Source organism: Homo sapiens, chromosome 20 (assembly GCF_000001405.40).
Source record: "Homo sapiens chromosome 20, GRCh38.p14 Primary Assembly".
Taxonomy (NCBI): domain Eukaryota; kingdom Metazoa; phylum Chordata; class Mammalia; order Primates; family Hominidae; genus Homo; species Homo sapiens.
This window is the reverse complement of record NC_000020.11, coordinates 48,467,479-48,484,327: the sequence shown is the minus strand read 5'-3', so window position 1 is coordinate 48,484,327 and position 16,849 is coordinate 48,467,479. Positions and strand designations below refer to the sequence as shown.

Below are 16,849 nucleotides of genomic sequence, written 5' to 3'. Positions count from 1 at the left end.
ACCACAAGATATGCATTCTTTCTCTTTGTTAAGGAATTAAGGTGCCATATTGAAACTTTAATCTTTAAATACAGGTAAATAAAACATGATTATAGAAATCATTTTCAGTAAGAAATTCATCATGAGCTAAAGTTTCTGCCTTACTGAATTCATCTTTTGGCAGTGGGTGGTTGTCCCTGCTGCAGATAATTGTGATCCTGAATAGCTGGACCTGTCTGTGTTCACTGTGAACCAACGGTTTCCTTCGAGGGCCCCAAAGACCCCGAGTGTGAATTGCCTAAGTGGGTGGGGTCTCTTACCCTGTGAGTCCTCCCACCAGGGGCCCCATCCTTCCACCCATCTTTCCTCAGGCCTGTTTCCCTTGAGGTCTGAGCTGGGGTGCCCAGTGAGGGGTCATCCCTGCTGTGAGATAAAACCAACGGGTGATTCCCCACCCCCATGCAGGGCCCTAGAGGGTGTGCGCGACTTCAGCCATCTGATCAAGGATGGATTCGACTCCCTGCTCAGGGCAGCAGCTCGTGGTTCATTCAGCCCCAGTGGCGTCTAGATGGGACACACAGAACTGAGGTTTGGGTCTGATGTGATTAAGCCGCCAACTGGTGTCCCTGTGTCTTCTCTTTCCTGACACCAGACACCAAAAAAGAAACAGCTCCAGACACACCAGTTAGTGAATTCCGAGGGTGAATTTGGAGCCAGGTGGCCTTTGAAGGCTCCACCTGGGTTTTGAGCTTTTGTTTTCTGCAGCAGCAGCAAACCCACTGCTCTGGGCTGCGAATTGTTGTTTACTAAATGCACAGGTGGTCTGGAGTGATGTTTTCCTTCTTTAGCAAAGTAGCACATGTTCCTTATGACAGTTAGACATGCAAAGAGGCAGGCATGTTTTTTAAGGATAAGTTAAACATTCAACAGGTCCACAGGGACTGAGTAAAAGATCTCCCCGCAGGTCAGCCCCTCAGCCTCCCAGTTTCTTCTTGGTGAAGCCAGTGCAGGGACCCACAGTGGGGCTGGTGGGTGGGAGGCTATCTCAAGACACCAGGAAGCAAATGAAGGGTCCCAGTCCATTTTGACCCCTATGCACGGATGTCGCTGGCTTGGACCAGCCTTCTGCAGGCCCCCAGTGAGAAGGGGACAAACCAGGCTGTGACCCTGGCCATTTTCTCCTACGTTATTACCATTCCCTCGCTGCATACCCTCTTTCTGGCCCATCCACAGAATACAGACCTGTCCTTGTAAGCTGGCCGTTCTTGCTCCTTGGGGCTGATCTGGGAGAAACCTGAGCATGTTGATGGGCAGCCTGTACTTTCCCCTCCAAATAGAACCCTATTGACTGCTGCTCTTTTATTACAGAAGTGACAGGCTCATGGCCAGAGATGACACAACAGAGAAAATGAATCAAGATGAAAACAAGAATAAGAATAATTTCCCTTCCTGGCCGGGCGCGGTAGCTCACTTTGGGAGACCAAGGTGGGTGGATCACGAGGTCAGGAGGTTGAGACCATCCTGGCTAACACAGTGAAACCCCGTCTCTACTAGCCGGGCGTGGTGGCAGGTGCCTGTAGTCCCAGCTACTCGGGAGGCTGAGGCAGGAGAATGGCGTGAACCTGGGAGGCGGAGCTTGCAGTGAGCGGAGCTCACACCACTGCACTCCAGCCTGGGTGACAGAGCGAGACTCTGTCTCAAAAAAAAAAAAAAAAAAAAGAATCATTCCCTTTCCTACCCCTACACGGAGCTGCATTTTAAATAAATAAACTCCTTGATTGCATCCCTTGGGAAGATCTGACTTCCTATAACTGAGACTTACTTCTCTTAACAAGTTCTCAATGTCAATGAGAGAAGCAACCCTGGCCTGAGGCTTTAAGTCAAAGTGTCTGAGCGCAGCTGGGAACGGGCAACACAGACCCGGTTATCGTGGTCCTGATGGTAGATTTCAGCCCTGTTTGGCACAGGTGGGTCATCACTGTCTCTCCTGTAGCTGGTTTACGGAAGGTCTGAACTAAATACAAGTGGGAAACGGCTTCACTTTTCTCCAGCAGCTGCCTTCCAGTAGCTTCTGTGAGGCAGGGCTGGGTTAGGGTGAGCAAGTGAGGCCAAATTGTGCAAGTGCTGCCTTGAATCCTGTCTCCTTTCCTCCTCATCCCCCTCCTCCTCCTTCCCCCTGCTCCTCCTCCTCTTCCTCCGTCTTTCTTCTTCCTCCTCCTCCTCCTTCCTCACAAAGGATCCTGTCTTTAAATTTTTAATATTTTGTTAATCGGTTTTTTTGCATGAAGTTTGAGTTTTAAAAAGTACTGTGTTATGATGTTATTTATGATGATTATTGAATTTTTTGGTACCCATTTAGATTTTATGCCTGGGGTGAGTGTCTCCCTTGCCTCATCCTAATCCTTGCCCTATTATTAGGTCTCAGGCCCCTGCTTCTGGATGACATTTTGGGAAGATCCCTTGGGCTTTTGTTCACTTTTTTTTTTTTTTTTTTTTTTTTCGTGACAGAGTCTCGCTCTGTCGCCCAGGCTGGAGTGCAGTGGCGCGATCTCGGCTCACTGCAAGCTCCACCTCCTGGGTTTATGCCATTCTCCTGCCTCAGCCTCCCGAGTAGCTGGGACTACAGGCACCCGCCACCATGCCCGGCTAATTTTTTTTGTATTTTTTTTAGTAGAGACGGGGTTTCACTGTGTTAGCCAGGATGGTCTCGATCTCCTGACCTTGTGATCCGCCTGCCTCAGCCTCCCAAAGTGCTGGGATTACAGGCGTGACCCACCACACCTGGCCCACTTCTATTTATAAGAACAAGCTCATCAATCATTCTCACTCTCATCCAGGTAGTAAAAGCCTAGGCTGGTCCAAATCTAAATTTTAATCTCACATTTAATTCCAAGCTTTTCCTCTCCCCCTACTCACTTCTAACTAAGGCTTGGGGTCCCCTTCTCCGCTGTTCCTTCTGGTGGTTCCAGGGCTGGGACAGGTACAGGGATGGATGTCATACAGGAGAAAGGGTCTTTTCCTTTTGGATGCCATTAATGACTGATGTGTAGCAGGTGAACAGATACTGGTGCTCTTGTGTGGTGTGTTTCATTCCTTCATGGATCCATCTAGTCTTGTTCCCCCATTCCCATCCCAGCATAGGGAGGCAGCTGGAGGCTTCTCTGTCCTCCACAGGGACTGTCATTTCACTAAACCTGCAGGTAGTATGACAAAGGAAATTCCACTCAGGTAAAGTGGCTTAATATACAAGCACAGAATGATTCCAGCACAGGGCACAAAAGCCTAAATGCTGTGCAAATCTACCAGTCATTCAATTAATCTTTGTTAACAGGCAACCTGCTGGGGTGAGTGCATGACTTTCATTCTCTGCCCTCATGGAGTTTCCAGACCAGACGGGAAGCCAACTATTCAAAGACTCAATGAAAATACCATCCAGTAACTGAATGTGCAAAATGCTGCAAAGGAAACATTTGGGGGATTATAGAGTTTGATCCTGGGTCGGGGACAGGAGCTTGGGGCATAGGGTTTGAGAATGGAGGGAAAGTCTATCAAAGGGAAGCAGGAATTAGCCAGGTAACTGCAGGTGGTGGGAGGGGAAGAATGTTTTAGCAAAGGGAACAGCGTGTGCAAAGGACTGGGGGTGAGGAGGATGCCGTGCCTTCTTGGAACTAAGGAACATCCCACAGGGTGGAGCTGAGTGGGGCAAGAACTGGATGGGAGCTCTGCGAAGCACAGCAAGTGCCAAGGTGCTGGGTTGGGCTGAGCCTGTTCAGTTTGAGGAACTGTGATAAGGCCAGGGGTAGCAGAGAGGGCAAGACGGCCAGATGCTGCTGGGAATGTAAGCTGGTGAGGAATCAGGGCGTCCTAGAGCAAAGGGATGATATTAAAGGACTTTAGGGAGGGTAGTAATGTTTGGGGATTATGCATATCTTGGGAATCTCAGTAAAGTGAACTCATCACTTGAATGTTAATAAGTCATTTGCATGTGCAGAGACAAATGGGACTGTTTCTATTGCTGTGATCAAATCATGTAAAAGCACTCAATACTGATTTTCACAAAGGTTATTCAAATGATAGATTTATTTCAGAAATTTGTGGTAATTAAGCACTTTAAGGTTGTCAGGGAGCAGATAGGTTACTGAAGTCACATGAAGGTGTTAGAGGTAGCAATTTAAAATGAAACCACCAATTTTTACACTTTCCAAAGTAATTTGACTGCTCTGTATCTTTCTCAAACATGAGTACAAGATCAAAATGAATACTTTGAATGTTTCTTTCCTTATTTTACATCAGAATTTTTATTGAAAAATTGAACATATCAATTATTAAAGGACCTGTATATTTTATGAAGGATCCTATAGTTTGCAGAAATTGCTAGAGAATATTGTGGTTTTCACCTGGTAGCAATTGGTGCTCTTGCTTCTGATTTTCCTTCTGATTTTCAAAGACCTGATCATTTTTGAAACATACCAACAACTATGAAAAAGAAAATGAAAACCATCTATAATGTTACCACTGACATGTTACTACTGTTGGTACCTTGCTCTGTCTCTTATTTAACTATTTCCTCTGAATATGGGTGTGTGTGTGATAAAAGTGTAAAATCCACGTTTTTGTATCCATTTTTTTCACTTCACATGAAATCACGAGCACTTTCCACACTATTGAAAATTTCAGGCAAGCATATGATCAAATCATCCTTCAATATTTCCCTGTCTGGAAAACCCGTGCACTCTTCTCCATTCCTATGTTGCTGGACATTTGTACTGCTTCCAACTTTTGCTGTTGCAGTTTATGTGGCAATGATCATATTACTACATAATCTTGGTTTGCATTTATAAACAGCTCCTTAAGATAATATCTTATGTGTGTGATAACTGCATCAGGGATTAAGTGCTTTTTAAATTTAAGCTCTTGATACATCCAGCAAGTTGCTTTTGGAGACATTGGGCCCTGGTGGCCCCCCACTGATGGGCATCCTGTGCTCATGTTTCTGTTGCCTCACAGGCACTGTGTTGAAAAGTGTTTGTGTTAATCCTATTTGATATGCTTTGTTATTCTTCTAATTTTCAGAGAATTCATGGCTGGGACCAGCTAGTCCTTGGCTCCACCTTCTTGGGAGCAGATTAAATACGACTTCAAGCCAGTGAGGTGATTTGAGTCCCAGCAGCCTCATCTGCCAAGTCAACCCCAGCACTGCATTGAGAAAGGTCAGAGATTCGGAGTGCAGACAAGAGCTGTCCCATGCCAGAGCCCAAACTTGTCCCCTGGTTGGGAAGCTGAGGAGTGATTCTTTGGTTCTCAGATGCTCCGAGGGTGCCTCAGGTGGCATGCAGTCAGTGCACACATCCCAGGTATGTTAGCTGCACCCCGGCCAGCCTCCCGAGTTTGGGGTGCTGCCGACACAGGATGCGTCTACTGCGCATCATGATAGGCCTCCCCAAGTACCCTGTCCTGCTGGTGCCCTGTCTTCTGACCCCTCATCAGATCTTGGTGCCAAGCCCTGACAACCACTTCACTCTGGAGGCCGTTCTCAGAGCCTATTTCACAGCTCATTCAGAAGGAAAATGAGGGGGCCTTTTCCATTTCCAGTATTAAATGATTTAATTCACAAGGGACTTGGTCAACACAAGTATCCCAACAGAGCCCAGGCCCTGTATCATTTGCAATTTACCATTCTGATTAAAACCAACCCAACCCCATCAAGCTCTGCATGGGGTGAACCAGCCGAAACTGCACCACAGGCCCCAGCAGGACATCCGGCCCAGGGAACTGAGGCCGGGGAGGGGAGGGGGAGCCGGGAGTGCCTCTGCCTCATTTCAGGAGACTGATATGAATGGTAGGAAATCCGGTCCCCCCTTAAGATGGATGTTTCTGTAGAAATACATCTGATAAATGTTTAATTACATTTTAAGAGGGACCATTATTCATGGAACAGTCATTAGCCCCAGAGGACTTCAAGCCCCTCACCTGGTTAAGAGCCACGTTCATATGCAGATCAGCCCCCCACTTCCAACACTCCCTGCTCCAAGAGGAGAGCAGCTGGGAGAGCCTGGTGAGCTCTCCATCAAAACAGGGTGACACAGGGCAGCAGTGGGGTGGCCAGTGGCTTGGCTGTGGGTGGGAGATTTCAGACAGGTCGACATAAGCCAGGAACCTGAATCAAGGCGTCGAGACCTCAGCCCCACCCCGACCCACCTGTTCTAAGGGTCCCTGCAGGGCTCCGTAATCCCCACCTGTGACAGACTCCCCTCCTGAAGCTCTTGATGCTTCCCAGGCCCCCTCGAAGTCCTGTGGTTCCCTGGAGATGCTGTCAGCCCACAAGGTGCCAGGAAGGACCTTCTTGGGATGAAAGACTTGGGTGAACCTGTCCTGGGTGACATGCAGTGGGTGTGTCGCTCAGAGTTCTGAGGTGGCAGGTGACAGAATCCACGTAAGGTCCTGAAGCAAGGAAAAGCAGAACCGACCAGAAGGTCCCAGGAGCAGGAGTCCCAGGTCTTTGAGGGGCAGGAACTAGGGCATCCTGGAGCTCTGGGTGGCAGGGGCAAGTGAGAAGAGCTTGCTGAGGGCTGCTCAGTATAAGCCCAGGTGACTTAAGTCCCAGAAAAAAAACCGGTGGGCCCTTACCCATAGAAGGCAGCAGAGCCAGACCATTGCCGTGCACTCCAGGAGGTGCAGGCACCATTCTGCCTCTCAGCCCTGCCAGGAAACTTCTCCCTTCCTCTTTCCCCTCGCCCTCCTCTACCAGGTGGAATTAATTAGCAAAAAAACACAAACACAAAAACAAACTCTCAATGCCTAAATAGCATTGTTTATTTGTCACTGACTTCACCTTGTATTTGCCTGTCTTTGTGCCTCAGTCTCTAAAATGAGCACAAAATGAACATTCAAGGGAGATAAGTGTGCACTGGCCTGGGGAGTGGGGGGAGACAGCTTCAATCTGTCAAACAGCCTATTCCATGTGAGAAATGTCAGCAGATAGAAATGGATTAAGTCTGCCACTGAGTTGGTTACAATCCAGAGGTGAGGGTCTTTGGAGTGACCTTTATTTAAGAAATATCACAGCAAAGTCTGTTGGAAAGACGCTCTGGTGAATGATGGAGCCTGATGCACGGTGTGTTCACTGGGCTCTCCGGAAAAAGAGCCAGCAGGAGGTGTCCATATCCTACATACAGAGAAAGAGGTTGAGTTTAAGGAATTGGCTAATGTGATCCTGAAGGCTAGCAAGTCCAAAATCTGCAGGCTGGGCAGGTTCGAGACCCAGGGAGGAGCCGGCGCTGCCGTTCAAGTCTGAAGGTCATGGAGCTGGAGAGGGGAGGAGCCAGTGCTGCCGTTCAAGTCTGAAGGTCATGGAGCTGAAGACCCAGGGAAAAGTTGGTGCTGCCATTCAAGTCTGAATATCGTGGAGCTGGAGACCCAGAAAGGAACCGGTGCTGCTGTTCTAGTTTGAGGGTCATGGAGCTGGAGACCAGGGGAAGAGCCGGATTGCTGTCGAAGTCTGAGGGTCGTGGAGCTGGAGACGTGGGGAGAAGCTGGTGTTGCCATTCAAGTCTGAAGATAGGAGAGCTGGAGACCCAGAAAGGAGCTGGTGCTGCTGTTCAAGTCTGAGGGTCATGGAGCTGGAGACCCAGAAAGGAAATGGTGCTACTCTTCGAGTTTGAGGGTCATGGAGCTAGAGACTGGGGGAGGAGCTACCGTTCGAGTGGCGGCTCCCTGGGTCTCCAGCTCCAAGATGCTCAAACTTGAACAGCGGTAGCACCAGCTCCTCCCCGGGTCTCCAGTTCCATGACCCTCAGACTTGAAGAGTAGCACCATTGCCTTTCTGGGTCTCCAGCTCCATGATCCTCAGACTTGAGGAGCTGGAGACCCAGGGAGGAGCCGGTGCTGCTGTTCCTGTTTGAGGGTCATGGAGCTGGAGACCTGGGGAGAAGCTGGTGCTGCTGTTCAAGTCTGAAGATAGTGGAGCTGGAGACCCAGAAAGGAGTTGGCACTGCTGTTCAAGTCTGAGGGTCGTGGAGCTGGAGACCCAGAAAGGAAATGGTGCTAGTCTTCAAGTTTGATGGTCATGGAGCTGGAGATATGGGGAGGAGTCAGTGCTGCTGTTCTAGTTTGAGGGTCTGGGATCTGGTGACCCGGGGAGGAGCCAGTGCTGCAGTTCAGGTTTGAGGGTCATGGAGGTGCTGACCCAGGGAGGAGCTGGTGCTGCTTTTTAAATTTGAGGGTCGTGGAGCTGGGGATCTGGGGAAAAGCCAGTGCTGCTGTTTTATTTTCAGGGTCACGGAGCTAAAGACCCGGGAAGGAGCTGGTACTGCAGTTCAAGTTTGAGGTTCGTGGAGCTGGATATCTGGGCAGGAGTCAGTGCTCCTGTTCTAGTTTGAGGGTCTGTAGCTGGGGACCTCTGGAGGAGCCGGTGCTGTTGTTTAAGGTTTGTGGAGCTGGAGACCTGGGTGGAGCTGTTGCTGCGGTTCAAGCTTGAGGGTCATGGAGCTGGAGACCTGGCAAGAAGTCAGTGCTGCTGTTCTAGTTTGAGAGTCTTGGAGCTGGTGACCTGGGTAGGAGCCGGTCTGCTGTTCTAGTTTTAGGGTCTTGGAGTTGGTGACCTGGGGAGGAGCAGGTGTTGCTGTAATAGTTAGGGTCGTGAAACTGAACACCTGGGGAGGAGCCAGTGCTGCTGTTCACATTTGAGGGTCATGGGAGCTGGAGACTTTGTGGCGAGCTAGTGCTGCCATTCAAGTTTGATGATGGTGGAGCTGGAGACCTGGGTTGGAGCCAGTTCTGCTTTTTAAATTTGAAGGTCATGAGGCTGGAGACCTGGGCAGGAATTGGTGCTGCTGTTCAAGTATAAGGGTCATGGAGCTGGAGACTCAGGAAGGATCAAGTGCTGCAGTTCACGTGTCGTGGAGCTGGAGACCCGGGGAGGAACGGGTGCCCCAGTTCAAGTTTGAGGGTCATGAAGCTGGAGACACAGGGAGGAGCAACAGTTTGAGGGATGAGTGGCTGGAGACCTGGAGAGGAGCCAGTGTTGCAATTCAAGTTTGAGTTTCATGGAGCTGGAAACCTGGACAGGAGTCAGTGTGGCTATTCTAGTTTGAAAGTCTTGGAGCTGGTGACCTGGACAGGAGTCAGTGTGGCTATTCTAGTTTGAGAGTCTTGGAGCTGGTGACCTGGGCAGGAGTCAGTGCTGCTGTTCTGGTTTGAGGGTCTTGGAGCTGGTGACCTGGGCAGGAGTCAGTGCTGCTGTTCTGGTTTGAGGATCTTGGAGCTGGTGAGCCAGGGAGGAGCTGGTGCTGCTGTTGTAGTTAGTGTCGGGGAGCTGGAGACTTTGGGTTGAGCCGCTGTTGTAGTTCAAGTTTGATGTTCCTGGAGATGGAGATTGGTGGTGGGGGGGAGTCAGTGTTTCTTTTCTAGTTTCAAGGTCGTGGAGCTGGAGAACTGGAGAGGAGATGGTGCTGCTATTCTAGTTTGAGGGTCTGTAGCTGGGGACCTGCAGAGGAGCTGGTGCTGCTATTTTAGTTTAAGGTCCCTGGAGCTGGAGACCTGGGCGGAGCTGTTGCTGTAGTTCCAGTGTGAGGGTCGTGGAGCTGGAGACCTGGTGAGAAATCAGTGCTGCTGTTCTAGTTTAACAGTCTTGGAGCTGGTGTCCTGAGTAGGAGCCGGTCTGCTGTTCTAGTTTTAGGGTCTTGGAGCTGGCAACCTGGGGAGGAGCGGGTGTTGCTGTAAGAGTTAGGGTTGTGAAGCTGAAGACCTGGGGAGGAGCCAATGCTGCTCTTCATGTTTTAGGGTCGTGGGGCTGGAGACTTTGGGAGGAGCTAGTGCTGCCGTTCAAGTTTGACGATGGTGGAGCTGGAGACCTGGGTTAGAGCCAGGGCTGCTTTTTAAATTTGAGGTTCGTGGAGCTGGAGACCTAGAGAGGAGCTGGTGCTGCTGTTTTATTTTCAGGGTCATGGATCATGAGACCCAGGAAGGAGCTGGTGCTGGAGTTCAAGTTGGAGGCGTGGAGATGGAGACTTTGGTTGGAGCTGGTGCTGCTGTTCTAGTTTGAGGGTCGTGAAGCTGGAGAACCAGGGAGGAGGTGGTGCTGCAGTTCAAGTTTGAGGTTCATGGAGCTGGAAACCTGGGCAGGCGTCAGTGCTGCTGTACTAGTTTGAGAGTCTTGGAGCTGGTGACCTGCAGAGGAGCTGGTGCTGCTATTACAGTTAGCATCCTGGAGCTGGAGAATTTGGGTGGAGCCAGTGTTGCAACTCAAGTTTGATGGTCGTGGAGATGGAGACCTGGGATTGGGGAGCCAGTGTTGCTATTGTAGTTTGAGGGTCGTGGAGCTGGAGACGCGGGAAGGAGTTGGTACTGAAGTTTAACTTTGAGGTTCGTGGAGCTGGATATGTGGGCAGAAGTCAGTGCTCCTGTTTAGTTTGAGGGTCTGTAGCTGGGGACCTGGGGAGGAGCAAGTGCTGCAGTTCAAGTTTAAGGGTCGTGGAGTTGGAGATTTGGCGAGAAGTTAAGGCTGCTGTTCTAGTTTGAGAGTCTCGGAGCTGGTGACCTGGGTAGAAGCTGGTCTGCTGTTCTAGTTTTAGAGTCTTGGAGCTGTTGACCCCGGAAGAGCGGGTGGTGCTGTTATAGTTAGGGTCGTGAAGCTGAAGACCAGGGGAGGAGCCGGTGCTGCTGTTTGAGAGTGGCGGATATTGAGACTCGGGGAGGAGCGGGTGCTGGAGTTCTAGTTTGAGGTGGGGAGCTGGAGACTTTGGGTGGAGCTGGTGCTGCTGTAGTTTGAGGGTCTGTAGATGGGGACCTCGGGAGGAGCTGGTGCTGCTGTTTTAGTTTAAGGTCCATGGAGCTGGAGACCCAGAGAGGAGATGGTGCTGCTGTTCTAGTTTGAGGGTCATGGGGCTGGAGACTTCAGCCAGTGCTGAAGTTCAAGTTTGAGGTTTGTAAACCTGGGCAGGAGTCAGGGCTGCTGTTGTAGTTTGAGGGTCTTAAAGCTGTTGTCCCAAGGAGGAGCTGGTGCTGCTGTTCTAGTTTTAGGGTCCTGGAGCTGGAGACCAGGAGAGGAGCTGGTGCTGCTGTTCTAGTTTAAGGTCCATGGAGCTGGAGACCCAGAGAGGAGATGGTGCTGCTGTTGCAGTTTGAGGGTCTGCAGCTGGGGACCTGGGGAGGAGCGAGTACTGCTGTTTTAGTTTAAGGTCCGTGGAGCTGGAGATCCAGGGAGGAGCAGGTGCTGCAGTTCAAGTTTGAGGTTCGTGGAGCTGGAGACCCAGAGAGGAGATGGTGCTGCTGTTCTAGTTTGAGGGTCAGGGAGCTGGAGACTTCAGCTAGTGCTGAAGTTCAAGTTTGACGTTTGTGGAGCTGTAAACCTGGGCAGGAGTCAGGGCTGCTGTTGTAGTTTGAGGGTCTTGGAGCTGTTGTCCCAAGGAGGAGCTGGTGCTGCTGTTCTAGTTTAAGGTCCATGGAGCTGGAGACCTGGAGAGGAGATGGTGCTGCTGTTGCAGCTTGAGGGTCTGCAGCTGGGGATCTGGGGAGGAGTGAGTACTGCTGTTTTAGTTTAAGGTTCGTGGAGCTGGAGACCCGGGGAGGAGCAGGTGCTGCAGTTCAAGTTTGAGGTTCGCAGAGCTGGAGACCTTGGGAGGAGCGAGTGCTGCTGTTCAAGTTTGAGGTTCGTGGAGCTGGAGACCCGGGGAGGAGCGGGTACTGCTGTTCAAGTTTGAGGTTCATGGAGCTGGAGACGCTGGGAGGAGCGGGTGCTGCTGTTCAAGTTTGAGGTTCGTGGAGCTGGAGACCCGGGGAGGAGCGGGTGCTGCCGTTCAAGTTTCAGGATCGTGGAGCTGGAGACCTGGTGAGAGAAGTCAGTGCTGCTGTTCTTGTTTGAGAGTCTCGGAGCTGGTGTTTTAGGTAGAAGCTGGTCTGCTGTTCTAGTTTTAGCGTCGGAGCTGTTGACCCCGGAGGAGCGGGTGGTGCTGTTACAGTTAAGGTCGTGAAGCTGAAGACCAGAGGAGGAGCTGGTCCTGCTGTTTTATTTTGAGGGTCACAGATATTGAGACTCGGGGAGGAGCGGGTGCTGAAGTTCTAGTTTGAGGTGTGGAGCTGGAGACTTTAGGTGGAGCTGGTGCTGCTGTTCTTCTTGTTTGAGGGTCTGTAGCTGGGGACCTGGGGAGGAGCCAGTGCTGCTGTTTTCGTTTAAGGTCTGTGGAGCCGGAGACCCAGGAAGGAGCTGGTGGCTGTAGTTCAAGTTAGAGGTGTAGAGCTGGAGACTGGGTGTAGCCAGTGCTGCTGTTCTAATTTGAGGTTTGTGGAGCTGGAGACCCAGGGAGGAGCTGGTGCCGCTGCTGTTGTTTAAGTCTGAGGGTTGTGTAGCTGGAGACCTGGGAGGAGCCTGTTGTGCTGTTTAAGTCTGAGGTTCGTGATGCTAAATATGGTGCCGGTGTTGGGTAAGGAGAGAGAGAAGAGAGGAGGAGAGAGAGAATGAATCACAGGATGCCACTTGAAACCATTGGTGTAACTGTTTCTCAAGCAGATTAAACCTGGGAACTTGTGAGTCCTAGTGATCAATGCATTCGTTTTTCTCTTGCACAGTTTGGATTTGTTTTCTGTCTCAGGAGGCAGAAAGAACTTGATTACCCTTAGGAATTGAAAAGCTTAAAAAAACTAAAGGATGTTGGTAATAATAATAATAGGAATTAAACCATGATTATCCTGGCTGATAGAGACAAAATCACACACGTACAGTATATATCTTTCAATCAGTTAGTAAAATAAAAAATAAATGGAAAAATAGACCCAAGCAAAGGTATAAAACGTTGTTTCATGGAGAAGCGATGGAGGACAGAGATTAATCTGAGAGTTGCTACTAATGGAGAAACTTCAAACTTACCATTTTTCCCGTGAGGTTTTGGTGCAGAATATTGTGTGAGTTCTGGCAGCTGAGTCACTTCACAGAGCCCAGTGATGCAGTAGATGTCACAGAAGGACCCTCGCCCAGCTGTTCCTGCCTCTCTGCTACGATGAGTGTGGCCTCTGATCCCCAACTGACTGTGTCTTGAGACCAGGCCCATGAGCACAGGGGTTTCCATGGTGAAGGTTCCTGGATGGAACACCATGGATGTTCCTAATGTTCCTTCCTGATGTTCATCTGCCATCTTGCTATTTAATGCATCTTGTGTATAACTGTCTTCTAAATATTAAATAGAAAAAAGCATTTGTACAATATGGGCAAGGTATAAAGAACATCGACACACTGGACACACAGGACCTCCACCAAGTTTAGGGAACAGAATCTGAAGAGACATAACTGTGGATGTTCCCTGGCGGCCCCTCCCGAATCCCAGTCCCTTCCCTTCTGCAGAGGGAATCACTTTCCACTTTAGTCTTTATTAATCCCGTACTTTTCTTCATAGCACGTTTCTTTCACCACGTATGTGTACATCCCTAAACAATATGCCATTTAGTGTTTGAACTTTCTGTTGTCTTTTTGAGACAGGGTCTTGCTCTGTTGCCTCGGCTGTAGTTTTGAACTTGGATGTGAAGAAATTCTCCTGTGTGGCTGCTCCTATGCTGCATTGGGTCTGAGCATTTGCATTTGCTCGATGTCTATTTTTGTCCTGCATTCTCTTCCTGAGACCCATCCACACTGACATGGTTCATTTTCATTGCTGCGTGATCGCCCGTGGTATGAGGGGAACGTGGGAAATGTCTTCATTTTCCTGTGGATGAGGGTTTGGGCAGGTTGGGCCCTTAGGACTGTGTTGCTAGAACGTTCTTGGGCATTTCTTTTGTACACAAATGCAAGTTTCTTCTGGTCAGTAGCTTTCAATTTTTAAAATTTCATCCCAGTTAAGAAATGTAATTTTCCTCATAACCCACAACACACAGCCTTTCATATGGAAGCATAACAACAACAACAAAAGTTCACAACCTTTCTTAGCAGTGGCTGAGTGTTCTTGTTGCTCTCCATTCTCCCCAACCCTTGCATTTCTTGGGTTGTGGGATTTTTGCCAGTCTGGTGGGTGTCACGTGGTACCTCATCCTGTTAGGCTGAGACCCTCTTCATGTGTTTGTTGGCCATTCCTTCACATTTCCCCTTCTGTGAAGGGCTGGTTCAACTCTTTTGTCCAGTTTCTGTTTAGCTGTTTGAATTTTTGCCTTTTTCTTTTTTCTTTTATTTTTTTTGAGATGGAGTCTCGCTGTCACCCAGGCTGGAGTGTAGTGGTGCCATCTCGGCTTACTGCAGGCTCTGCCCCGCCGGGTTCATGCCATTCTCCTGCCTCAGCCTCCCGAGTAGCTTGGACTACAGGCGCCCGCCACCTTGCCTGGCTAATTTTTTGTATTTTTAGTAGAGACAGGGTTTCACCGTGTTAGCCAGGATGGTCTCGATCTCCTGACCTTGTGATCCGCCCACCTCGGCCTCCCAAAGTGCTGGGATTACAGGCATGAGCCACCGTGCCCGGCCATAATTTTTGCCTTTTTCTTTTTAAATTATTATTATTTTTTGAGACAGAGTGTCGCTCTGTCACCCAGGTTGGAGTGAAGTGGCATGATCTCTACTCCTTCAACCTCCACCTTCCGTGTTCAAGCGATTCTCCTGCCTCAGCCTCCAGAGTAGCTGGGACTACAGGTGCATGCCACCAATGCCCAGCTAATTTTCATGGTTTTAGTAGAGAAGGGGTTCTACCATGTCGGCCAGGCTGGTCTCAGACTCCTGACCTCAGGTGATCCACCCTCCTCGGCCTCCCAAAGTGCTGGGATTACAGGCATGAGCCACTGAGCCCGGCCTGCCTTTCTCTTTTTCAAGAGGGCTGTTTATGGTTTATGCACATTCATTTGGTGACTGTGTAACAAAGATGGGTTTTGAATCCACCAGGATGAACCTGTAGGATCCCCTCTCTGTGGTGGGAGAGGAGACAGAGAAGGGTAGAGGGGCACGGAGAATCTGAGCTGAGAGGAGGCCGAGTCAGGTGGGACTTGCAAGCTATTATGAGGACTTGGTTCCTCCTCTGAGCCAGGTGGAATTAGCAGGGGATTTAACCAGAGGAGCCATCGTCTCCCCTATGTATTTCTGCCACGGTTGGCTCAGTTGAACTCACCTGTTGAATAAGACTTGGCCTTGGCCACCCAGAGGCCCATGGCTGAGGGCTTAACTCCTGGCATGGCCACTGACACATCCATGTTTGGCACACACATGGCTGGGCAGCCCTGAGACCTGCTCTGCCTGGGGCTCTCATTGGTGGCATTTCTCGTGTTTGTCCCCTCTCAAGTCTGGCCTATTTATGAGCCTCATTACACCTTGGCATGAAGAAGGAGGTTTGGCAAATGACTCATAAAGCATCTTTTTAAAGGTTAATGGTCACTATTGGGGGGAGAAAGGGCCACTGAACATGGATGCTCTCTTTGCTGGTGTGGTTTTTTCAGTTAAGTGAAAATAGAGTCATGCCTCTTTGCACATACCTGGTCTGATTACCAAGCAGCCAAGGAAGCCTTGGGGTGTCTTGGAAGCTGGAACCGTCAGCCCTGTGTGAACTACATGTGTTGTTACATAAGTTGCTCCCAGGTGAGGGCAAGTGGGTCAGGCGATCCCAAGCTCTGCTTCCTGCTTGGCATGAGTGAGCTGTGTGTGAGGAGGTGGTTGTGGAGGAATCTCACAGTCTGAGCAGACCAGACAGTTACCTGCAGGAGGGCAGGGATGATGCCGTTCTCGCATTCATCATCCACAGTGCCTGGCACCTGCTCCAGGCCATGCAGGTGTACAGGTGTCCAACTGATCTTAGATAATGTGGGTCCTGCTCAGCGGCCCTGGGGATAGAAGGGAAGTCAGCTTGAGAGCTTTCCTGGGTCATGCCTCACCTAACTTACATGGCGTTTCCAGGAGAGAGGGCTACCAGCGGTGTCTGTGTATCAGTCAGGATGAGTAACAGCAGCCGCTACAACCACACCTCCCAGTGCTCAGAGGGGATGCACACAAGGGTTCTTTCCTGCTCTAGTCACAGTCTCACTGTTGGGGCAGCTCACCTGAAAGGACCCTTAGGAGACAAGCACCTGTGACTGATGTGCATCTTGCAAAGTCCTAAGGGAAGTGGGTAAAATTTGCTTATTCCAGCAGACAGGGAGGGGCACCCAGGGCAAACTCCCTTTGCCTGGGAGCAGGTGCAGTCCTTGAGTCCTGGGTCACCTGTTTCTTCCTCTGCCTTGGCCTACAGGCCAGATGTGATCTGACCTCTGCCTGCCTCTCTGACTCCATCTCCCCTCCCCTTCCTTTCTTTCTACCAATTAGATTATGGCCTCAGTGAATGTGACCAAGGACCCTGGATCACAGTGGCTTAGCCAAGGTGGAGGTTCATTCCTGTTTCACAAGAAAGTCAAAGCTAATCAAGTGATTCTTCTCTGCAGTTTTCAGGGTCTCAGCCTCCTTCTATCTTGTTAGTCTGACTTCCTTAGAGTGTGGCTTCCCCCGCCCAGTGTCCATCCTGTCTCCTGCCAGCCAGCAGGGAGGGGAGAAGAGAACAAGAGGGCACAAACCTTCCTTCCTCTAAAGGCAGCCACTGTGCACAGGCCTAACCTCCCAGTGACCACAGCCTGGTCACATGACCTCTGTTTGCTGCAAGGGATGCTGGGAAATGTAGTCTTCATCCTGGATGTCGGTACCCAGATTTGTCACTCCTGTGGCTAAGGGGAGAGAGGACATGGGAGAGAGTCACTTGTTCTGCCCACCCTTGCACACATTTCTCCAGCATAAGGTGACCTACTGCCTCAGCTTGCTCAGGACTGAGGGGGTTTGTGGGACACAGACCTTTCCATTTTAAAACAGGGGCAGTTCTGGACAAATCATCCCAGCTTGGCTGTAACTCAGAAGTTTCCTGGGACATAAGATTTCTAGTGTTAAAACCAA

At 50.1% G+C, this 16,849-nt stretch overlaps 2 long non-coding RNA genes across 2 annotated transcripts, besides 1 other annotated feature; one reads left to right on the top strand and one right to left on the bottom strand.

Annotated features, from left to right (window-relative positions):
* Positions 1-1,362: 1,362 nt before the first annotated feature.
* On the top strand, positions 1,363-8,377 carry LOC107985439 (uncharacterized). Its single transcript, XR_001754657.1, has 2 exons — positions 1,363-1,464; positions 5,053-8,377. It is a non-coding gene; the product is annotated as an uncharacterized LOC107985439 (long non-coding RNA).
* Positions 1,612-1,681: an enhancer, noted in NCBI's record as "active region_18019". NCBI's record gives its function as "activates an Ori minimal core promoter by ATAC-STARR-seq in GM12878 lymphoblastoid cells {active_cell/tissue: GM12878}" and the evidence as "EXISTENCE:reporter gene assay evidence [ECO:0000049][PMID:35858748]".
* Positions 8,378-10,997: 2,620 nt separating the features above from the next.
* LOC105372645 (uncharacterized) lies at positions 10,998-12,986 on the bottom strand. Its single transcript, XR_936815.3, has 2 exons — positions 12,842-12,986; positions 10,998-12,376 (listed from the first exon to the last, which is right to left on the bottom strand). It is a non-coding gene; the product is annotated as an uncharacterized LOC105372645 (long non-coding RNA).
* Positions 12,987-16,849: the final 3,863 nt, after the last annotated feature.